Here is an 18,899-nt window from a genome sequence, read left to right on the forward strand (position 1 = left end):
CTGCTGCCAGCGGGGACATCTGCTTTCTTACACTCCAGCCTGGCTCACCCCGCCCCCTCAGCCCCGGGTTGCGTGGTTATTTTACCAACACGGGGGGAGGGAGAGCTCGAGGAGGTAGAAAAGGGGTGGATAGAAGCTTAGAAGATTTTCTTCCCACTCCCCCCACGTCCCCTCCTTTCGTCACATCTTTTAACCTTCAAGGTAAAGACTTAAGGAAACAATAAGCGTGTCCGCTGGCTCGCAGGCCCGCCGGGGTTCTCGGGCGCGGGGCCTTGCCCCTCTCCATCCTCCCTGAGTCCTTCCCCGAGTCGGGCCGTGCTTCGGCGGTTCGGCTGGGCGCAGGGGCCGGCCGGGCGCGCCCAGCCTGTGGCGCCTCCTCTCCCGGGCTGCTGCCTCGACAGCTGCTTGTAGCTACAGTAATTAGACTGTCAGTGCTTGTTAGAGGAGAGAGGGGAAAACACGCTTCTGACAGCAGATTCCAAGACTCCCCAGTTTGTTAATTTCTAAGAGATCTTTAAAGCATTAATTGAGGTCTCCCCAACTCTCCCCTCCCGTCCCTCTCTGCAACTCCTCCCTTCCCAAAAATATCTTTAGGAGAAGCGAGTTCTCTCGGCGTGGAAGCAGTGTTTCCCGCAAAACTGCCAGCCCGCCCCCCGCTCACGCACAGACACCCAATTTCCCATATACAGATAAATGCACACATGTATACGCGAAAGGTTAACTCGGCGGAGGACTCGCCCAAATAAGCACCGGGATTGCATTTAAAATAATAATAATAAATAAATAAATAAACTAGGAAGGAAAGCGGGGGGAGGGAAGCAGAAGTCGGGAAGAAAAGAGAAAAGCAGCAGGCTGATTACGAGGTGTCAAAACTGCCAGGAGCAAGAAGGTGATAGCAATCAGGGGTGAGAAGAGTGCGGCATTCGTGCGGGGCAACTAATTATCCGTCTCATTTGAGAAGAGCAGCATTTGAGGCAGCAGCGTTCGCCTGCTGAACGGTGACAGATTGGCGCGGAGGAGAGGGGAGGTGTTAAAACAATGGAGCCGGGCGCGCGAGCGCTGCTGCATGCTAATCAGCCCTCCCTCCGCCTGCCTGCCGCGCTCCCTCCTTCCTCCCGGCCTCCCTCCTCCGCGCTCCCTCCTCCCGCCTGCGGCGCTCCCTCCTTTCCAGCGGGCCCCGCGCCGCCGCCGCCACCCGCTTCCTGCTCCCTCGCTTTCCCGCGCGTCCTTCCCGCCGCTGGCGAGTGGAACCCAGCCACCGCCACCGAGTCCCTAGCGGGCCAGGAGCCCCCGCGCGGCCCCCAGCGCCGGCCCGGTGGAGTGCAGCCCCGCGCGGGCTCGCCCGAGGGCTCGGCCTGCGCCGCGCGCCCACTCCCCGGGGCGGTGGGGCGAGGACCCGCGCTCCGGGATCCACGTACTGGGGAAGCGGCCGAAGAGCCTGCGTTCTCACGCCCACTCGCTGTCTGGTGAATCGACCGCGTCGGCCAGCGAGCGCGACTGGGAGTCCAGGCGAATTCAGAAAGGGCTAGGGCCAGCCAGGGGTGAAAAGAGTGACAGGGCCACAAAGGCCAAGAAGGGCTCCAGGACTGAGCGCAGATCTCCTGCCCTGCCCGAGCGTGGCCGCCACCCCGAGGCCTCCAGCCGCCCCCAACCCGCCCTGCAGTGGCCGCGCCCCGCTGGCCTGCGGCGAGTCGGCGAGGTCAGCGCCCCCCGCCACGCCTCGCGCGCTGCGGCTCTTAGACCCCTGGAGCCCCTTTTTTGCCAGAGCTACCGGTCCACGGTTTAAATGATCGCAGCGAAGATACATAAAGGGCCTTAGCATTAGCTGTGCTTCCAAGGCCTGACCTCCTGACCCCAAGACTAGATTAAGGGGCCGTCTGGGCCTCGAGAGTTCCCTCGAAAGACCGTCGCGGGGAGAGAAGGGCCTGGAAAGAAGCGGGCCGCGCTCCCCCCTGCCGCGAAGACTGTGGGGCAGATGGGGGCAGGACCTGATCTGGAGGCCCAGCTCCCCGCCTGGCCGCTCTGTTCTATACTCTGGCCCGAGACAAGCTAGTCAAAAACAGCAGCGCCCTGGCCGCCCCTCCGACAAAGAGCCCATCGGAACCCGAGTCTGCTGAAAAAAGCCTTTCATACCTGTTGATGCAGGCGGGGACCTGAGATTTCATACAACCTCCTGTTACTTTTTGACCGTAAAAGCTGATTGTTGCACTTAAAAGGCACTTTTATTCCTACCATTAAAATATTTTTACTGTTACGGGTTTACATAAACTACCCTTATAAACATCATAAAACTTCCTTCCCCGTAAGCCATAGATGGACCTCCAGAGTAACTAAAAACCTGTGCAGTGTAATTGTTTCTTCTGCTGACCCCTACCTTTGCATAACTTTATACACACCATTGTTCCTTTTTAAAAAATCAATTTAAAATAAGGTTTGCTAAAGCTCAGTCATATATACACAAAGGTTTCATTTATATTATTCTGCTTTGTAATATTTCATGATAAAAGTACACAAAAATGAAATTAAAATGAGTAAATTTTGGTATTTTTATACCATCCTCATTGATCCTAGTCATGTGAAAAACTACACAAGTGCAGAGTGAATCATTTTTCCTTTTAGAATATGCCCAGGCATACCAATAGAATAGCTGAATGCAAACTTCAGATCTACTAAAATCATACAGAACGTTTTAAAGTTTTTAAGTTGAAAAATCTTAGAAGAGTTACATAAAGGATTTTGTGTAAGTAAATGTTAATGCTTTCTGCTTTCCACTCTTTGGAAAACCACTAAGCAGGCCTCTGCCCTTGGCATATACAGACTTCTTGATGCTACAGTATTAGCTGGCATTTGGAAAATTCCCTTGTGTCTGAATCTGTTAAAATAGCAACCTATCTAACAGCAAAACAAATTTTAACTTTATATTTATTCATGTAAACGTGGAGATTCAGATGTTCCATCAGCATCAAAATTAAGCAATTTATTAACTATTCACCAGCCTTTGCTTCATTAACCAATTCTGTAGAAGCAATGTCTCTCTAAAGCTGTGAATCTACAGAGCTCAAACAAATTTAGTTCAATCCCATGTTGTTATGTATCTCACCAAATTATTTATCTTCCAATAACTTGGTTTATACAGGCTTAGTGTAATTTCCTCTCAGTATACAGACCTCACAAATTTGCATGACTGTTTTAACGGTGTATTTACAGATAAGTTTTTATTTGCACATAAGGACAAAAAGGTGAAGTGAAATTTGGTCCCAATGGAAACCTGTTAGGTTCCCTGAACATATGGCTCATTGGGCTGTTACTTCCTTTTTGAGATCATTTTCCAAGATTTTTTAATATATACATCAATTTGACACCAGTTATAAAGAAAATATATTGGCTTTGAAGATTCCTCCACCTGGGGCATATCTCTTAATAACACACCATGTAGTCAGGTGTACCTCTGAATATACAGGTTTCCAGTCTCTGAAAACGGCATATTTTGAAATCAGTCAGAGCTGCCAGTTGATTTACACTGTCTTTGAAATTAAGTAGTTCTTTGGATTCTTAGAATGCCACATTGATTTGATTAATACAGTTTAGGGGTGACTAAAACTCTTTTTTGGAAGGCTGTGCATTTGGAATCCACAGTATTACAATGATTTCTCTCAGCAGATACAAGTGATGTAAGTCTCATTTGTTGAAAGTGTGTGGTGCCAGCTTAAGACTTAAGGGGAAAATCACAGCACTTTGAAAAAGATGTAAATGTTCAATTGGTAAAAAAGGGGAAAAAACCGTGCTAAAACATGTGCCTATTTCCATTATGCTTAATTTACTATTCAAAACAAGTTTTTCCTAATAAGCTCTATTGTTTCTTTCTGTTTTGTAAAATTTAATATGTGTGAGACAAAAACCAGATTCAGAATGTGAATGAAGTCTGTTTAGCGAAAGATTGTGGGAGCTTACAGTTCAAGAAGGCCTCAAATTAAAAGAAACATCATCTTCTATCACCAAAAAGATACAAAGAAGCAAGTTTCTTGGGTCATTTCTAGGACCAGTTCCTAGATTGCCAACTTCCTCCATCCTCAGAGCTCCTCATGGATGAATTCACACACTTTAAAGTGCACCAAGCACTAGAATATTCAGAATGATTATGCCACGTTTATTTACTGCATAGCTGTAGCTTTCATCTTATTGTAGTCCTCTTTTCTCTGAAGCATCAATCCCCTAATAGGACTGAAGTAAGTTCTCAAACATGTTATCCCCTTGTCCTGACTATAGAGGGTTATGTCTATCTCAAAATCACTCACACATTTTCAGAGAATCTGTACCTGATTATGCAACCCTTTGACGTTTAACCCATCTCCCATGGTTGAATGTCCCCTTGGAATCCAGAAGGCCTGGATATCCTGGCACTTGCCCATGTGTCCTTTGTTGTTTAGGGCTATACCATGAATACATTCAAAAACTATCTTGTTAATATCCTTTGGAAGGACTGTAAAAATAATGACTTTTCACTTTAAAATAATTCAAGGAATAGTTGTTTTTAAAAGAAAATGTTAAAGACTGCCTAATTCAACTTTCTTTTTGTGTGGACAAAACAAACAATAAAGAAACAAACAAAAAAACCCCACTGTATCTAAAGAGAATAAATGAGTCCCTCACACCTACTCAAATAGTTGGAACTCAACTCAAGCTCTCCTGTCTTTTTCAAACTATTGTTTTTTCCATAACCAGCCCTTACCTCAAATAAAATACAGTGTTTCACTGACTTTGTACTTTGTTTCAGAGGAAGCCTAAGTCCTATCCAAAGTCTTTTTACACAAAAGAATAAACCACAGAGAGAGTAGGGGGCCTGACATTACCTGACACTGGAGTGGGGTTTATTATTTAAAGTTGTCGGCCAGGTGAGGTGGCTCACGCCTGTAATCCAAGCACTTTGGGAGGCCGAGGCAGGCAGATCACCTGAGGTCAGGAGTTCGAAACCAGCCTGGCCAACATGGTGAAACCCCATCTCCACTAAAAATACAAAAATTAGCTGGGCGTGGTGGTGCATGCTTGTAGTCTCAACTACTCTGGAGGCCGAGGCAGGAGAATCGCTTGAACCTGGGAGGCAGAGGTTGCAGTGAGCCGAGATCGCACCACTGCACTCCAGCCTAGGGGACAGAGCCAGACTCCATCTTAATCAATCAATCTATCAATCAATCAATGTTGTCAGTTTATCACCACTCTAACAAGGGCCCCAGTCCATTTCTGCTTGGAAAAGAGGCACCTTAACCCACTGGGTGTTGAGCATCTCTCTGGCCTGCTCCAATGAGGGAAGAGCAAGTCATGGAACATATTTTTGTAGACACAAACTAACATGAGAGAAGATAAAAAATGATTTGTACCTCTAGAGTATGGAGTTAAACCATACCATAACTGCCAAACCACAGTGCTAAGTTTTTTAACAGTCTGAATTCTAGGTTAGAGTTTGTCTGGGGGAAACAAAATAGCTAACCAGCACGAACTGGAAGTGAGCTTATGTATTTTCTAAAACTATTGATCTGGAACTAAAACATTATCTAAACCAACCAAATACTTCATTTGGTTCCAGACCTGGCCTTCACTGTCTGGAGATGGCTGTGCAGCTCAGAAGGAAGTCTCGGCCTTATATTATCTTCCCCTGAGAGTATTGGTGAATCAACTCTGAAAACAGCACTCATTAGACAAATAGTTTCTCCATTTGCAGCTGTTAAATAGCTCTACCCGCCAGTGATAAAGGGGCATCCTGTGTGGGTGTACTCAGACCTCTTCAAGCAACTGGCTTAAAAGGAAGGCTAGCTCACTGGGGATCCAAAGTATCAGTAAGGGTGATAAAGCTTGCTTGAAAAAGCTCTCTCTAACTGGGGCTGGGGAAGCAATGCAAGCAGCAGGCTTTCTCCAGAAAGCAGCTTTCTAACTCCTCACCCTCTCACACACACTTCAATATACAAAGACCCACTGTTTTGTTGCGTTTTTCCTGAGGTTTTACCTTTGGCACTGCAAAAGCCTTTTCTTTCAGCATCTGCAAGACCCTATTGGATGAGATCTATTTCTAGGTTAAAGCCTTTGATACATTTCAAAGCAGACTTTGCCTTTAAAGTTCTCAACTCAACTCTTTTTTTTTTTTCAAAATATACTAAATACCAATGGGTAACGTGGCTCTATAGTCAAGGTTTAGAAAAAATATATGCACTAATGCCGACATGGGAACCACTGTAACTGACATTCCACTTGCAGACATGCTAGGGTACGCTCTACCGGCTAGGGAGGGAGGGTTTCTGTGGGCCAGACCCAGTCAGCCAACCTTAGGAAAGGAACCCGGCTCCATTTCCTAGTGAAGTGGCAACAATGACTGTCATTTCCTCCTCAAATATAATGTAAGGACATTTCCAAGTCGCTTCAGTCATTTCTTCCTCCTCCACCCTACCATGTGCTTACAAAAGTATGCTGTAGGAGAAACTCAATTTCTTTTTCCAGGCAAGGTTCCATTAAACATGTCCCCAATAACCTGATTACATCAGACAATGAGCCTTCCTTCTTATATGATTTCTTCAGCAGAATGTTTTTTAGTTAGAATTGCCAGATTTAGCCAATAAAAATACAGGATGCCCAGTTAAATTTTTTGAATTTCAGGTAGATAACAATTTTTTACTCTAAGAATGCCCCATGCAATATTTGGCAACCCTATTTTTAACATCACATAGACTATATAAATATGAAGCTGAATCTTAGCAGATTCTCTCCTAGTTTGGGGCTGGGGAAGTGGTTAGGTGTGGAGCTAATATTTACTCTTTTTCCGCCCGTAATTTTCTTTCTTCCGTTCTCCTTCCGCAAGGAACGTCTTGGGGCTTCTCGAACATCTCTCAGCATTTACTGTACGCCCCCCTCCCCTCGCTTTTGCTGATAAAATGGTTGGTGTTGTGTTTAAAGTGTTTATAAAGTCTCCTCCGTGATAACGCGAGCGTTTAAGAGAGAGAATTCTAGGCACACCTCTTCCTCCCCTCCAGAGTGCCCCGGCGTCTTTCTAGCCTCCGCCTCCAGGCGGGTGAGGAGGTGACACCTGAGAATTCCTCCCTCTCACCCCTGACCCTGCCGGAAAGCGAAACTGAGATGCGGGCATTGGGCCCTGGGAAGCGTGGGGAAGGGGAAAGGAGAAAGCCAGGTGGGTTTTTAGGTCCCTTCCAGTGCCACACTGCGGGGCGTTGAGGGGCCGCTCGAGGCAGGCCCTTCCATGAGGCCTGGACTGGAGGCCTTCTCTAGCCGCCGGCGCTGGCCTGGGCCGCCTGCCGCCACGCAGGGGCCGCGCGCCTGGGCCCCAGGGCCCCTTTGCCGGCGGGAGGCCGGGGGGACCGACTGCTCTTGGCGCCCGGGGTCGGGGGAGGCCGGGAAACCTCGGCTCCCGGGCGACAGGCACCCAGGCCCTTCTCAGCCCCCCGGCCGCGGCCGCGCCGGGCCTCGCTTCAGCCGGGCGATTCTTCCCCTCATTTGTTGCATTGTTTGCATTAATATGAATATCTTGTTCTGTTTGTTTTGTCTCCTGAGAGCCAATAAAGCTGTGAGTTTTTTCATTACACCAAATGCAGCTCTACGGGCGATCAATCAATGGGTAGTCTTCGGATAATCTGTGAGAGTGAGAAATCTAATAAAGCTAGCGACTAAAAAAGGAAAACAAAATCTATTTTTCTCTTAGGTTAACTACGTCAGGATTAATGTGTTCCACTTCTGCTGCCTGAGGTGGGTTTAACTCTTGTTCTTTCCCCCCCACCCACCCCAACAAATTGATTTAAATGTCAAGATGGGAGGGGAAGAGGGCTGAGGAAAGAAAGAGAAAAGAAAAGGGATGTTTAGGAGCTTCTTAAATTTTCTGATGGTTGGCCGATTCTTTCAAGAAGAGGAAAGACAATACTTTCTAACGTCCCAGAAAATCAGAGAAATGGAGGATTCTAACAAAATGTAGTTTGGCAAAGAGGCCCTTCCTCAGTTTTCCGAACAGACAGGAAATGTAAATTGATAATGACGTAAATAAGTGATGATAATAAATCAAGTTATTATTAGTGCCCCCTGCCCCATCACTTGTTTGCTTTTGCTAGATGCTAAACTTAACTCCTCAAATGCATTTTTTGGAAGGCCCCTCAACCATCCTGAGCAATGCAGGAAATAAGAGAAAGATCATCTGCCTGGGCTGCTGCAGTTCTCCTCACAGCACAATGCAACCAAAATCATTTATAAACAGACAAAAATAACAATCTGAATTATCTAACATTAGCAGTTGAACTGAAGAGCCCAAGATTATGTGATGAATTGTTAAATTGCAGTAGCATTGTTTTGGATTGCTAATTAAAAAAAATAAGCAAACCCCATGACTCTAGATATGACAACTGAAAATACCCACAAATTATTTAATAAATGAAGTGTCTAACAACTTTAACACTTCCTGGTCGCCCTGTTAATAAATGTAATTTGAGGTAGATTTTTAAAATCTTCAATCTAAACAGTGAATTCATTACGCGCCATTCAGATCTCTAGATGCCTATGGACTTCTTGGAATTAGGTGTTAAATAGACAAAAGTGAACCAAACTGCCTTTAAAAGCACAGCATGACCATGTAATTCTTTTTCCAGTTTGTGGTAAAAAATGATGAAACTTCTTTCCAAGTAGCTATCACCCAGATTTAGTGTGAAAAGTAGTGTAATTGTAATTCACGCCATCAGGGTCTATCGCTGATAGACGATCAGCTGTTCTGTAGAGGGGAGAGGCTTTCTTTTCAAATAGGAAAGCTGCCAAGTGCTCTGCGATACCTCCAGCAAGCTTATCGGATTGAGTTCAGAGCCAAAACAGCAGCTGCACACATATGCAAATTGGCAATTAATAGTATAACATTCTGTAAAAAAAAAAAAATGTTTAAAAAAATTTTTAAAGAAAGTAGAAAGAAGCTACCTGAACATTAACCTTAACTGTAACTGGGACTTCTAAGATGAATGACTAAGGATTAATTACCCTCTGGAGAGGACTTGCTGTTTAATACCTTCTCTTACAGATCAAGTCTTTGTTGTCTTGCTGAGTTTTGTCTGTTTCATGGAACACAACAATACACTCTACAGGAAGAACTTTAACTAAAAAGCCCTTATATTTCGATTCCAGAAAATGGAGAAATTAAGTCCTTTCCATGGATCATTCCTTCTGTAAACAGAGATCACAAAGCAAGAGCTTCAGCATCCTCGTGAAAAAGACATTTTGTTCTGGGTGTCATCATCTCCTTCCACTACAGCTTGCAATTGGAACAAGCTTCACATCCTGGGGGTGCTGCCTATCTCTGTCTTGATTTCTGTCTGTCTATTCCTCCCATTGACAGGAATGTCGTTTGTATCCTCCACGCAGCAGTTTGCAGAAATCCAGCAAGGTTTATGGTTTATGTTGCCCAGCATGTATAAACACAACGCTCTCAAATGCTTTTTAAAAATCTATGAATTTGTTAGATGTCTTCACATCCTGGTCCTCCTACCCCAATTCTCAAACACAAAGTACTCTGTTGCCCTATTATAGTCCTGCGATAGTTCTGGCTAGGATTAGGTTGACGGTCTAAGCCCCAAGAAAGGCCTGGCATTTTCATAGCAGGCTTTCCCCAGTGCTTTGAGTCTTCCTCTCTCACTCCCTTTTTCTTTTTCCCTCGGAGGAGGGGGTGTTGGGGGTGGGAGGTGATTAGTAAATGTTTCAGGTAATCTGTGAATTCTTAATAGTCATATTTCCGTGGTGGAAGATCTCCCTATTTCTCTGATGTGACAGGTTACAGAAACCTTGGTGTTGGGGGTTTTACAGATATTTACAAGTTCTAGGAGTTTGAACTTTGGGTCAAGATGTTGATTCCTTTTAATGTGCGAGGGTGAAGGAGGTTTTATTTTGCTTTATTCTTTTGGATATTATGAGATGAGATTGTATCCAGTCTTGGCTGTAACCTATACCATAAATGCAGAGCTGCAACCATTATTTCTGTCTCTTTCTCCTTTTATCACCTACACTTCTAGAGATATTACTTTCAGTTTTATTGCAAATCATCTGTGTCTTTAGTTTAAACCATTATTTTTCATATACCCCAGGCACATTTCCCTTATAATGAGACAAATTTTAGATTATTAATGTTCCACCTAAAAGGATACTGTACACTTTTCATTGCCAATATGGGCTTTGAAGCTTAAATATCAACATTTTTATAGGAAATTTACCCATGTCAAATTTAAATATATTTGCTTATATTTCTTGGAAAAAAGATTTTGGATAACTATCAATTAAGCAGCCAATTCCATTTGGGGTGCAGAAAATTTTGAGCCCCTTGATAAGAAGGAACAAAATTTTTCCTCTAAATAACCAACTCTGGATCAGAAAAACTGAACTTTTCTAAATATTTATTATTAACAAAACTTTTTTTTGTCTGATTCCACTAGAAGCATTCTATGTTGTGAACACTATAAAGTTATCCTATGTTGTGAACACCATAAAGTTATGAGGGAAAAAATGTCAAATCTAAATTTTATTTAGAAGTAACATATTGTTTTTCTGGACTTGCAATCCAATTCGAATGCATCGTTAGACTTTTCTGTTTTCTTATGATTAAACAACAATGGCTTAAAATGATAGCAAGTCAACTGAAAAGTTGCTTTGGAATAAAACAAAAGTGGGAATGCCAACTTTCTTTTCTTCTCTATAACTTCATTAACATGGTTGTATAGACATTTGCATGTAAAATGTAGCTAACAAAAATTACACAGAAGTAAATTTAGTCCTCTAGTGCCTACCTCTATGGTGAAATCAGACCATTTGGCATAGTTTGAAGTCTTCCAAGAAGCCTGGTTTCCACCTGGAAAATAAATTACTAAATTTGAATGTGTTACTTATACTATGGTGAGTTGTCTATCTGTTACATTTTATTTTAGTGCATATACTAGAAATTGTATTTAGGGTGTTCTAAAATTGTCATCTGTCAAGGTAGAGAATTATAATAATATAATTATACTCAGAAAGCGTTCTGATTTTAGATTATTTTGGCACTGTTACAAATATGATGAATTTTAAAAAAATGCAGAATGTTTATTACAAATTCATATGTTTAATTGTCAAATTCTGAGATTAATTTAGATAAGCTATAACCAAAGTTTATTTTCTTTGCATTTATTGGTACATAGTTAATGCTTATACACAGGCTTCAGTGTAACACCTATACACTATTACAATATTTAGCTGTACTTATTTGCTTTATCTTTAAATGGTACTTTGTCCCAAAATTTTCTGAGTTTGATAAATTATTAAACATTTATCAAATCACTGTTGCATTCTCTATTCATCAATACATTCTGTTTTAAATCATAAACAGTTTGATTCTGAGTTATAAGAAATATTTTGAGTAATCAAAGATTCTATGTTGTATGACATAAAGCATAATAATGAGATTATTGATGAGATGTCATGATCAGTGAAGACCATACTCAGTGAATTTACCCAGATAAAACTATGTGTTATAATGCCGCAAGTGTACACAGAAGTAGGAGATAAAGATGTGCTATCATGGCTCAGTAAAAACTCCTCACCACAGCTAGTGACAAGAACAAACAATGTTTTGTTAAAATCTGTAGGTTTTTCTTCATCTCAAAGGATAGTGCATTAATCTCCTAAAGAAAGTAATTGTTCTCTCTGAAATGTACAGTAAGTTGAGTTAAACAACTAGAGCAAGTATGGTTATGGAATTTTATTTTCTCAAGCTCAGAAACTTTTAAATTTACTACAATATACCCAAATATGTCTAATTACTATACTACCCTTGCAGTGATTACAATTTTGATGTTTGTCATTTTTTACATGCTAAAGTGCTTTGTGAATCCAGGTGATTATATAATGGATACCATCTTCTGTGGGAGTGAAAAGAAGAAAAACTTGATTCATACTTAAAGGTGCTATATTTGAGGAATGTGATGTTAAAATATTTTCTCTTAGCACAAGGCATTTGTTTTAAAGAATTTATCTGGAGGACTCAGGACATTTTCTATATAGTAAACTGAATGATGAACATTATTTAAGGTGATAAATGGGAATAAATTTTAGAAAGTCATATCTCTAGAAAAATTTACTTGACCATTGGATTAATAGTCTAAGAAGTGATGGTGATAGAATAACAGTAGCGTCTTGGTGAAGCCCTTTCTCTTTGCTAGACACTTCACGTACATTCCCTCATTCAGTCGTTAATAATCACCTAATGAACCCAACGTGATTTTGTTTTACTGATGAGAAAAATGAGGCTAAGTTTAAGTCACATAGCTTGTAATGGATGAGGCTTTATAGCTGTGGGACTCTAGAGTCCATCTGATCATGTGATGTAGTTCCATTCTGGTTTCTGAAGGACAGAGACATGGAGGAGGTTTGAAAACTGTCTCTTTCCCCTCTTAAAATTCAGTTTTTCCTTTACTAAATCCAAAAGAGTAAGTGAAGTGGTCCAAGAATTTAGCAATGTAGTCAAGGTCCATTTGATTAGGAAGTCTTTATATGACTAGAAACAGGATTGCTTTGGCACATACATAAAGACTCTACACATCCATCCTCAAATTTAGCAATTTGAAGCAGTTAGCTACACGGACAGTTTTGTATGCATTGCTAAATGCAGACACAAAAACTGCATTTGCAAAAAGAGGAAACCCAGTTAAACTAGGTTGCAAATTTGGCCCTAATTTAGCGTAGCATTTGTGATACATATAGGTTAGAGTGACATTTATATAATGGTGTGAAATATGAGAAAGTTCCAATGCTAGACACAAAGACTTTTAAAAATTGCTTTTGCCTACTTTGGTTAGTTTAAGAAACAGGAGGAAGAATTTGGTTTTTCAAGTGATGGGAAGCCTTTAAGGATGTTGGAACACTGTTCAGTCCCCTGGGGTTCTGCCTGCTGTACAATTTTAAATGTCTTTTAGCTAAAAAATTGGCCAACAAGGGAAACACAGAGATGAAATATCTTCTTTCTTATCTGGAAAGTGAGAAACTATAGGTGGCTAACATAATCCAATTTTGATAGTCGAATAAATGGTCAGCTTTTGGGGTTAGAAAGTCATAATCCTCCTTGTTAATATGTCTATCTAACTGGAGTAACTACCTACCTATTAGAATTTATCTTGGAAATTTTGTCCTTATGCTCAGTTGTAGACGTGTTTCAGCTTAAGAAATACAGCCAAAAATGAGACTAGATAAATATACCATGTTTCATGTAAATGCTGCTATCATGGTACCTGAAACTATTTCCATTTCTTCATTGAAGACCACTGGAGGGCAGTGTTTTCTCCTTTGGGAACAGCACCTGGTTTCACATGGAGACTGCATAGATGTGTTAAAAAGGCATCTAGGTTACAGGAAATGAGTTGTACTTCTCATTCAGGCTGTGCTTGGAATTTACCCCCTCCTGTTTACGTGTCATTCAGATTGTTCCTTATCATACTGCCTGTCAAATTAGTTGTACCTGAAATCAGATTCCAAAAGATCATGTACAATACATATTTACTGTTTTAAAGCTTTATATTCATTAACTATTTGAGGCATTATGTTAAGTTCATTTTGCTAATATAAATAGCAAATAAAAAAGGATATATAAGCAAGAGTAGGCAGTTTTAACCAGATGCTTTGCACTTAAAATTTCAATATTTCATTGATTTTATTTTCAGTATAATTTTATTACATATAATATGTATACATATATTTGTCACCAAATTAGCAAATTCACATTTTCTGGAAAGAACAAATGAAGACTTTTCCTAGAAGCTTATTTGTCATATCTTATGATATGCCTTGTTCCCTAAGGATGGTATGTGGAAAAATGTTTAATTTCTTCTATTTTAAAAAATGATCTATTGCTGAGTATTAAATTATAAAATTATACTAATTTGTGTTTCCATTAGTTAAAAAATGAAACTGGATTACATATTAATTTGGTGTGTCAGGGGTCCATTTAATCTTTATTTAAAGGCATATAATGCAAACTGAATTCTTTTAATTATAATAGTCGTTTCATTGTTAAAAATGAAAATATCATATATTTTAGCTCTGTGACTTTGTCCAGCAAAATACTGCTACTTTTGCAAAATCAATATATAATTTTAGTCTAATGATTTACTTGATTTATTTTTTTCAATAAAGTGCCCAGAAGCTTACCTGGAACTTGGCCAAAATAAGGCAGAGCAACTAATCACTTGAGGAAAAACATAAATAACAATATCTGTATCATAAATGCTTTTTAAAAGTATTTCATTTTTATAACATTATTTCCGATTACAAAAGTAATACATGTTCATTGTGTACAGCCGCGTGCCACCACGCCCGGCTAATTTTTTGTATTTTTAGTAGAGACGGGGTTTCACTATGTTAGGAAGGATGGTCTCAATCTCCTGACCTCGTGATGCGCCCGCCTCGGCCTCCAAAAGGGCTGGGATTACAGGCGTGAGCCACTGTGCCTGGCCTCTTATACATATTTTTATGCACTAGTAAGTATTAAAAATAATTAGGATATATGACATTACTCATTGATGAGTGACACTTCCCTTAAAATATATCACATTTTCCCATGTCATTAAATACTAACTATAGTATTCCATAGTATAAATGCACCATAGTTTGTCTAACAAGTTCTCTAACACTATGTATTTGGTAATTGCTAATTTTTCCTTTTTTTGAGATAGAGTCTCACTCTGTCACCCAGGCTGGAGTGCAGTGGTACAATCTCGTCTCACTGCAGCTTCCACCTCCTGGGTTCAAGCGATTCTCCTGCCTCAACCTCCTGAGTAGCTGGGACTATAGGCATGTGCCACCATGCCCGGCTAATTTTTGTATATTTTAGTAGAGATGGGGTTTCACTATGTTGGCCAGGGTGGTCTCGAACTCTTGACCTCAAATGATCCACCCACCTAGGCCTCCCAAAGTGCTGGGATTACAGGCGTGAGCCACCATGCCCGGCCAATAATTGCTAATTTTTCTATATCATAAACAATGTTATGTGAACATCTCTGTGGACAAATATTTGCATACATTTATAATTACTTCCTCCAGATAAATTTCTAAAAGGGGAATTTTAGGGTCAAAAAGGATTTTTTTATGAGTTTTGATACGTAGACTAAAGTGCCTTCCAAAATGGAAGTACATGAGAATGTCTGTTTATCCTAATCTTCACCAACACTAAATGTTAACAGGTTTTTAATGGTCTCGAATTTGATGTTTGAAAAAATAATTGTTTTTACTTTTAGTTATTTTGCTTACTTGAAAAATTTTAAATTTCATATATTGTTTGCCATTTATAATATTGCTTTATAGTGTACTTATTCCTATACAACACCCATTTTTTCTGTTGGGGTGTTTGTATTTTTTTTATTTTTTATAAAGAAAGGTGTTTATGTAAAATTGCCATAGTAACACTATGCCATACATTTTACAAGGATCTTTCTAAGCTAAACTTTATCATATTTTGTTATTGACTTTTTCACTTTTAAATTGTCAATTTCTCAAGTGTTTTCATTAACATTTCTACCTTTACTTGTAGAAAATCTTCCTCATGGCCGGGCGCGGTGGCTCATGCCTGTGATCCCAGCACTTTGGGAAGCTGGGGTGGGTGGATCACGAGGTCAGGAGTTCGAGACCAGCCTGGCCAGCATGGTGAAACCCCGTCTCTAATAAAAAATACAAAAATTAGCCAGGCATGGTGGCACATGCCTATAGTCTCAGCTACTTAGGAGGCTGAGGCAGGAGAATCACTTGAACCCAGGAGGCGGAGGCCTGGGCGACAGAGTGAGACTCCATCTCTGAAGAAAAAAAGGAAAATCTTCCTCACAAAAGGTTAGATAAATATTCACTTTTATTATTTTTTATTGACTTCTTTATTTTTTTATTCAGACAGGATCTTGCTCTATCGCCCAGGCTGCAGTGCAGTGGGACGATCATGGCTCACTGGAGCCTCAACCTCTTGGGCTCAAGTGATCCTCCAGCCTCAGCCTTCAGAGGAGCTGGGACTACAGGCACGCATGACCACCTGCTAAAATATTCACTTTTGTTTTCTCCTACATATTTGATGATTTTTTTTTGTTTTCATTTTATGCATTTAGTGCTTTAATATGTCTGCAATTTATTTTGGTTTATCATGTGAGGAGAGGATTGGATTCTTGTTTTTCAGCTTGTCCCTGCAAGTTTATTGAATAATATAGTTTTTTCCTACTGATTTTAAGATTTTTGAATTTAGCTGAAAGGTTTTATCTTCTAGAGACCTCTCTTGAGATTAATTTCCACTCCACTGATTTCTCTATTTTTCTACCTTTATCACAATATTTAAATAATACAGTCTTATATCTAGTATTGCAAGTCCTTCAGTAGTTTTCCTTTCCAAAATTTTCTTTGTCATTCTTGACTATTCGTTCATATTATTCTGAATTACATTATTAAGTTAAAAAAAGATTCACTTAAGAACATATGTTTTGCTGTGAAAAAATACTCAAGATATATTAAGTGAAGAAAGCAAATTGTACAACAATATATATATTAGCCTTCTTAAAATTAAAAAAGTCAGAAAAAGCATAGAAGTGTGTGTGCAGGCCCATGTGTATGTGAGGCTGTTCCTTATTGATACATATAAACATTCTGGAAGATTGGCCAAAAAAAGTATTAACAATGGTTAGCTTTGGTTAATGGGAATGGACATTGTGGAGAAGAGGAAATTTTGCTCTTTACTATAAAGAAACTTCTTAGGTAGTTTGGATTTTCTACTATGAACAAGCATTAGTCATAAAATTTTGGTAAATGTCTTTGAAAAAAATATTTGAAAAAGATTATTAAAAAGCTACTTACACACAAAAGGACAAATACTGCATAATTCCACTCATCTGAGGTACCTAGAGTAGTCAGATTCATAGAGGCATCAAGTAGAATGGTGGTTGCCAGGAGCTGAGGGAAGGGGACAATGGGGGTTGTTGTTAAAGGTGTACAGGGGAGTCTCAGTTTTGCAAGATGCAAACAGTCTGGAGATGGATGGTGGTGATAGTTGCACAACAATGTGAATGTACCTAATGCTACTGAACTGTACACTTAAAAATGTTTAAAACAATATGTTTTATTTACCACAATTGTTTTTTTTGACGCAGAGTCTCGCTCTGTCACCCAGGCTGGAGTGCAGTGGCGCAATCTCGGCTCACTGCAACCTCTGCCTCCTGGGTTCAAGCGATTCTCCTGCCTCAGCCTCCTGAGTAGCTGGGATTACATGCACACGCCACCATGCCCGGCTGATTTTTTTATTTTTAGTAGAGACGGGGTTTCACCATGTTGGTCAGGCTCGTCTCTAACTCCTGACCTCGTGATCTGCCCGCCTCGACCTCCCAAAGTGCTGGGATTACAAGCGTGAGCCACCTTGCCTGGCCCTACCACAATTTTTTTAAAGCTATTTACAATGATTTACCCCTGGGGAGTTGGATTGAGGAGTTAGGATGTAGGCCAAGGACAATATTTTTCATTTAACACCTTCTGCATGGCCTGAATTTTTCAGGAGAAGCCCATATTATTTTCATAATAAAAAAATTTTAGGACTCTCTCTAGACCTATTCTGATTCAGAGGCTGCCCAATTAAAAGAAATTTAATGTCATAGCTAATTTTAAAAATTTATTGGAAATCCTACGCTGAATTACATTAAATTTATAAATGATGGGACAGCTTTAAAATATTTACTCACATAGAAAGTTTTCAAAAATTTTAATGATCCTTTGAAAATTTTGTAATTTCTTCATATGGGTCCTACACAAGTTCTGTAGTTTATTAGTGTATCCCTGGGTTTTTTATATCTGTATCTCTATCTACAGATTGATAGATATATATAATATTATATCAATTGCCTAATTGCTATTTTTTGTAAAATTAATTTGTCTCATTGAAGACTTTTTTGTAATTATTTTTTCCTCTAAATAACTGAAGGAAACTGTTGATTTTCATAATTTTCTTTACTTTAATCTTAAAAATAATCCTAAAGTAATTGGTCCATTCAAGTTGGTCAGTTCAAGTTCAAGCTAAAATTATTGGTTTGTGTAGAAATACTCTAATTTAGCCAATGTAACTGTTTTTTATTTATGTGATTTTTTTTGAATCATGTAAACATGGCTTAAGAAAATATCTATTATAAAGAATACTCTATAATATAAATGCCTGCAGAGTATAATACCTGTCACTCTCTGAAAAGGAATGCAAAGGAGTAATGAAGGAAAAATAATTATTAGTACGATAGGATTTCCATGAATAATTTATGAGAACCTAGACAAGGAGTAAACAATAGATATCACCCATTTTGAGTCCTATAGACTTTTTCCATATTTGCAGAAGATATTGCTTGTATTTTTTTCATTTCTAAAAGGAAAGTGTTTTGCTTTTATTTCTGACTATATATTATCATTGTAGAAAGCATTCAATACTATAGACAAAAAGTATTTTCTTATATGAAGATCAACCATAAACCTATCATCCAGATAAAACTACCATAAATAGTATTTTGCCTATTCATCAAGAATTAATTACATTAACATATATTTCACATATTTATAAAAGTGATCACACTGTACATACAGTTTTATAGCCTCCTTTTTTTCTCTTAATATATAATCACTGCTGTCTTTTAATGTCCATACAGATCTTCATAATTCTTAATGGCTATTGTTGAAACGTACATTTTATTTTATGGATGTTCCATAATTTATTTGATCAATCCCCTGTTGATTAACATTTAGGTAGTTTCAACTTTTTTTACTTTGAATATTGTAATACATCTTTTCACATTTGACAAGATTATTCCTTAAGAAATGTAAATGCTCAATGAGTCTGCATAATTTTAAGACTTTCGTGTTAAAAT

The 18,899-nt window shown here is 39.6% G+C and overlaps 2 long non-coding RNA genes across 3 annotated transcripts in view, besides 10 other annotated features; one reads left to right on the forward strand and one right to left on the reverse strand.

The window, feature by feature from the left end:
• PSMD14-DT (PSMD14 divergent transcript) overlaps nucleotides 1-16,919 on the reverse strand; it is a 31,386-nt gene extending 14,467 nt beyond the window's left edge. Inside the window, exons 1-3 of the long non-coding RNA NR_110593.1 lie at nucleotides 16,861-16,919; nucleotides 13,272-13,498; nucleotides 10,800-10,861 (exon numbers count right to left, since the gene is read on the reverse strand). This is a non-coding gene — a long non-coding RNA (PSMD14 divergent transcript). The remainder of the gene's footprint in view (nucleotides 1-10,799; nucleotides 10,862-13,271; nucleotides 13,499-16,860) is intronic.
• Nucleotides 660-1,216: an enhancer, noted in NCBI's record as "VISTA enhancer hs416". NCBI's record gives its function as "enhancer in: forebrain[10/10]" and the evidence as "EXISTENCE:transgenic organism evidence [ECO:0001131][PMID:17130149]".
• Nucleotides 660-1,417: a biological region, named in NCBI's record as "VISTA enhancer hs416".
• Nucleotides 1,048-1,417: a silencer, noted in NCBI's record as "silent region_12055". NCBI's record gives its function as "represses an Ori minimal core promoter by ATAC-STARR-seq in GM12878 lymphoblastoid cells {active_cell/tissue: GM12878}" and the evidence as "EXISTENCE:reporter gene assay evidence [ECO:0000049][PMID:35858748]".
• Nucleotides 1,508-1,577: a silencer, noted in NCBI's record as "silent region_12056". NCBI's record gives its function as "represses an Ori minimal core promoter by ATAC-STARR-seq in GM12878 lymphoblastoid cells {active_cell/tissue: GM12878}" and the evidence as "EXISTENCE:reporter gene assay evidence [ECO:0000049][PMID:35858748]".
• Nucleotides 5,365-5,444: an enhancer, noted in NCBI's record as "active region_16709". NCBI's record gives its function as "activates an Ori minimal core promoter by ATAC-STARR-seq in GM12878 lymphoblastoid cells {active_cell/tissue: GM12878}" and the evidence as "EXISTENCE:reporter gene assay evidence [ECO:0000049][PMID:35858748]".
• Nucleotides 5,465-5,574: an enhancer, noted in NCBI's record as "active region_16710". NCBI's record gives its function as "activates an Ori minimal core promoter by ATAC-STARR-seq in GM12878 lymphoblastoid cells {active_cell/tissue: GM12878}" and the evidence as "EXISTENCE:reporter gene assay evidence [ECO:0000049][PMID:35858748]".
• Nucleotides 6,804-6,863: an enhancer, noted in NCBI's record as "active region_16711". NCBI's record gives its function as "activates an Ori minimal core promoter by ATAC-STARR-seq in GM12878 lymphoblastoid cells {active_cell/tissue: GM12878}" and the evidence as "EXISTENCE:reporter gene assay evidence [ECO:0000049][PMID:35858748]".
• Nucleotides 6,804-7,311: a biological region, named in NCBI's record as "H3K27ac hESC enhancer GRCh37_chr2:162101046-162101546".
• Nucleotides 6,811-7,311: an enhancer, noted in NCBI's record as "H3K27ac hESC enhancer chr2:162101046-162101546 (GRCh37/hg19 assembly coordinates)". NCBI's record gives its function as "activates a minimal SCP1, AML or CMV promoter by ChIP-STARR-seq in naive and primed H9 embryonic stem cells {active_cell/tissue: H9 hESC(naive and primed)}" and the evidence as "EXISTENCE:reporter gene assay evidence [ECO:0000049][PMID:30033119]".
• Nucleotides 7,015-11,326, forward strand: LINC01806 (long intergenic non-protein coding RNA 1806). 2 transcript variants are annotated; one of them, NR_110163.1, is made up of 3 exons: nucleotides 7,015-7,171; nucleotides 7,700-7,743; nucleotides 9,151-11,326. It is a non-coding gene; the product is annotated as a long intergenic non-protein coding RNA 1806 (long non-coding RNA). The 2 variants fall into 2 exon arrangements; NR_110164.1 differs by lacking the exon at nucleotides 7,700-7,743.
• Nucleotides 7,294-7,403: a silencer, noted in NCBI's record as "silent region_12057". NCBI's record gives its function as "represses an Ori minimal core promoter by ATAC-STARR-seq in GM12878 lymphoblastoid cells {active_cell/tissue: GM12878}" and the evidence as "EXISTENCE:reporter gene assay evidence [ECO:0000049][PMID:35858748]".
• Nucleotides 16,920-18,899: the final 1,980 nt, after the last annotated feature.

The sequence above is a fragment of the Homo sapiens genome, chromosome 2 (genome assembly GCF_000001405.40).
Source record: "Homo sapiens chromosome 2, GRCh38.p14 Primary Assembly".
Classification (NCBI taxonomy): domain Eukaryota; kingdom Metazoa; phylum Chordata; class Mammalia; order Primates; family Hominidae; genus Homo; species Homo sapiens.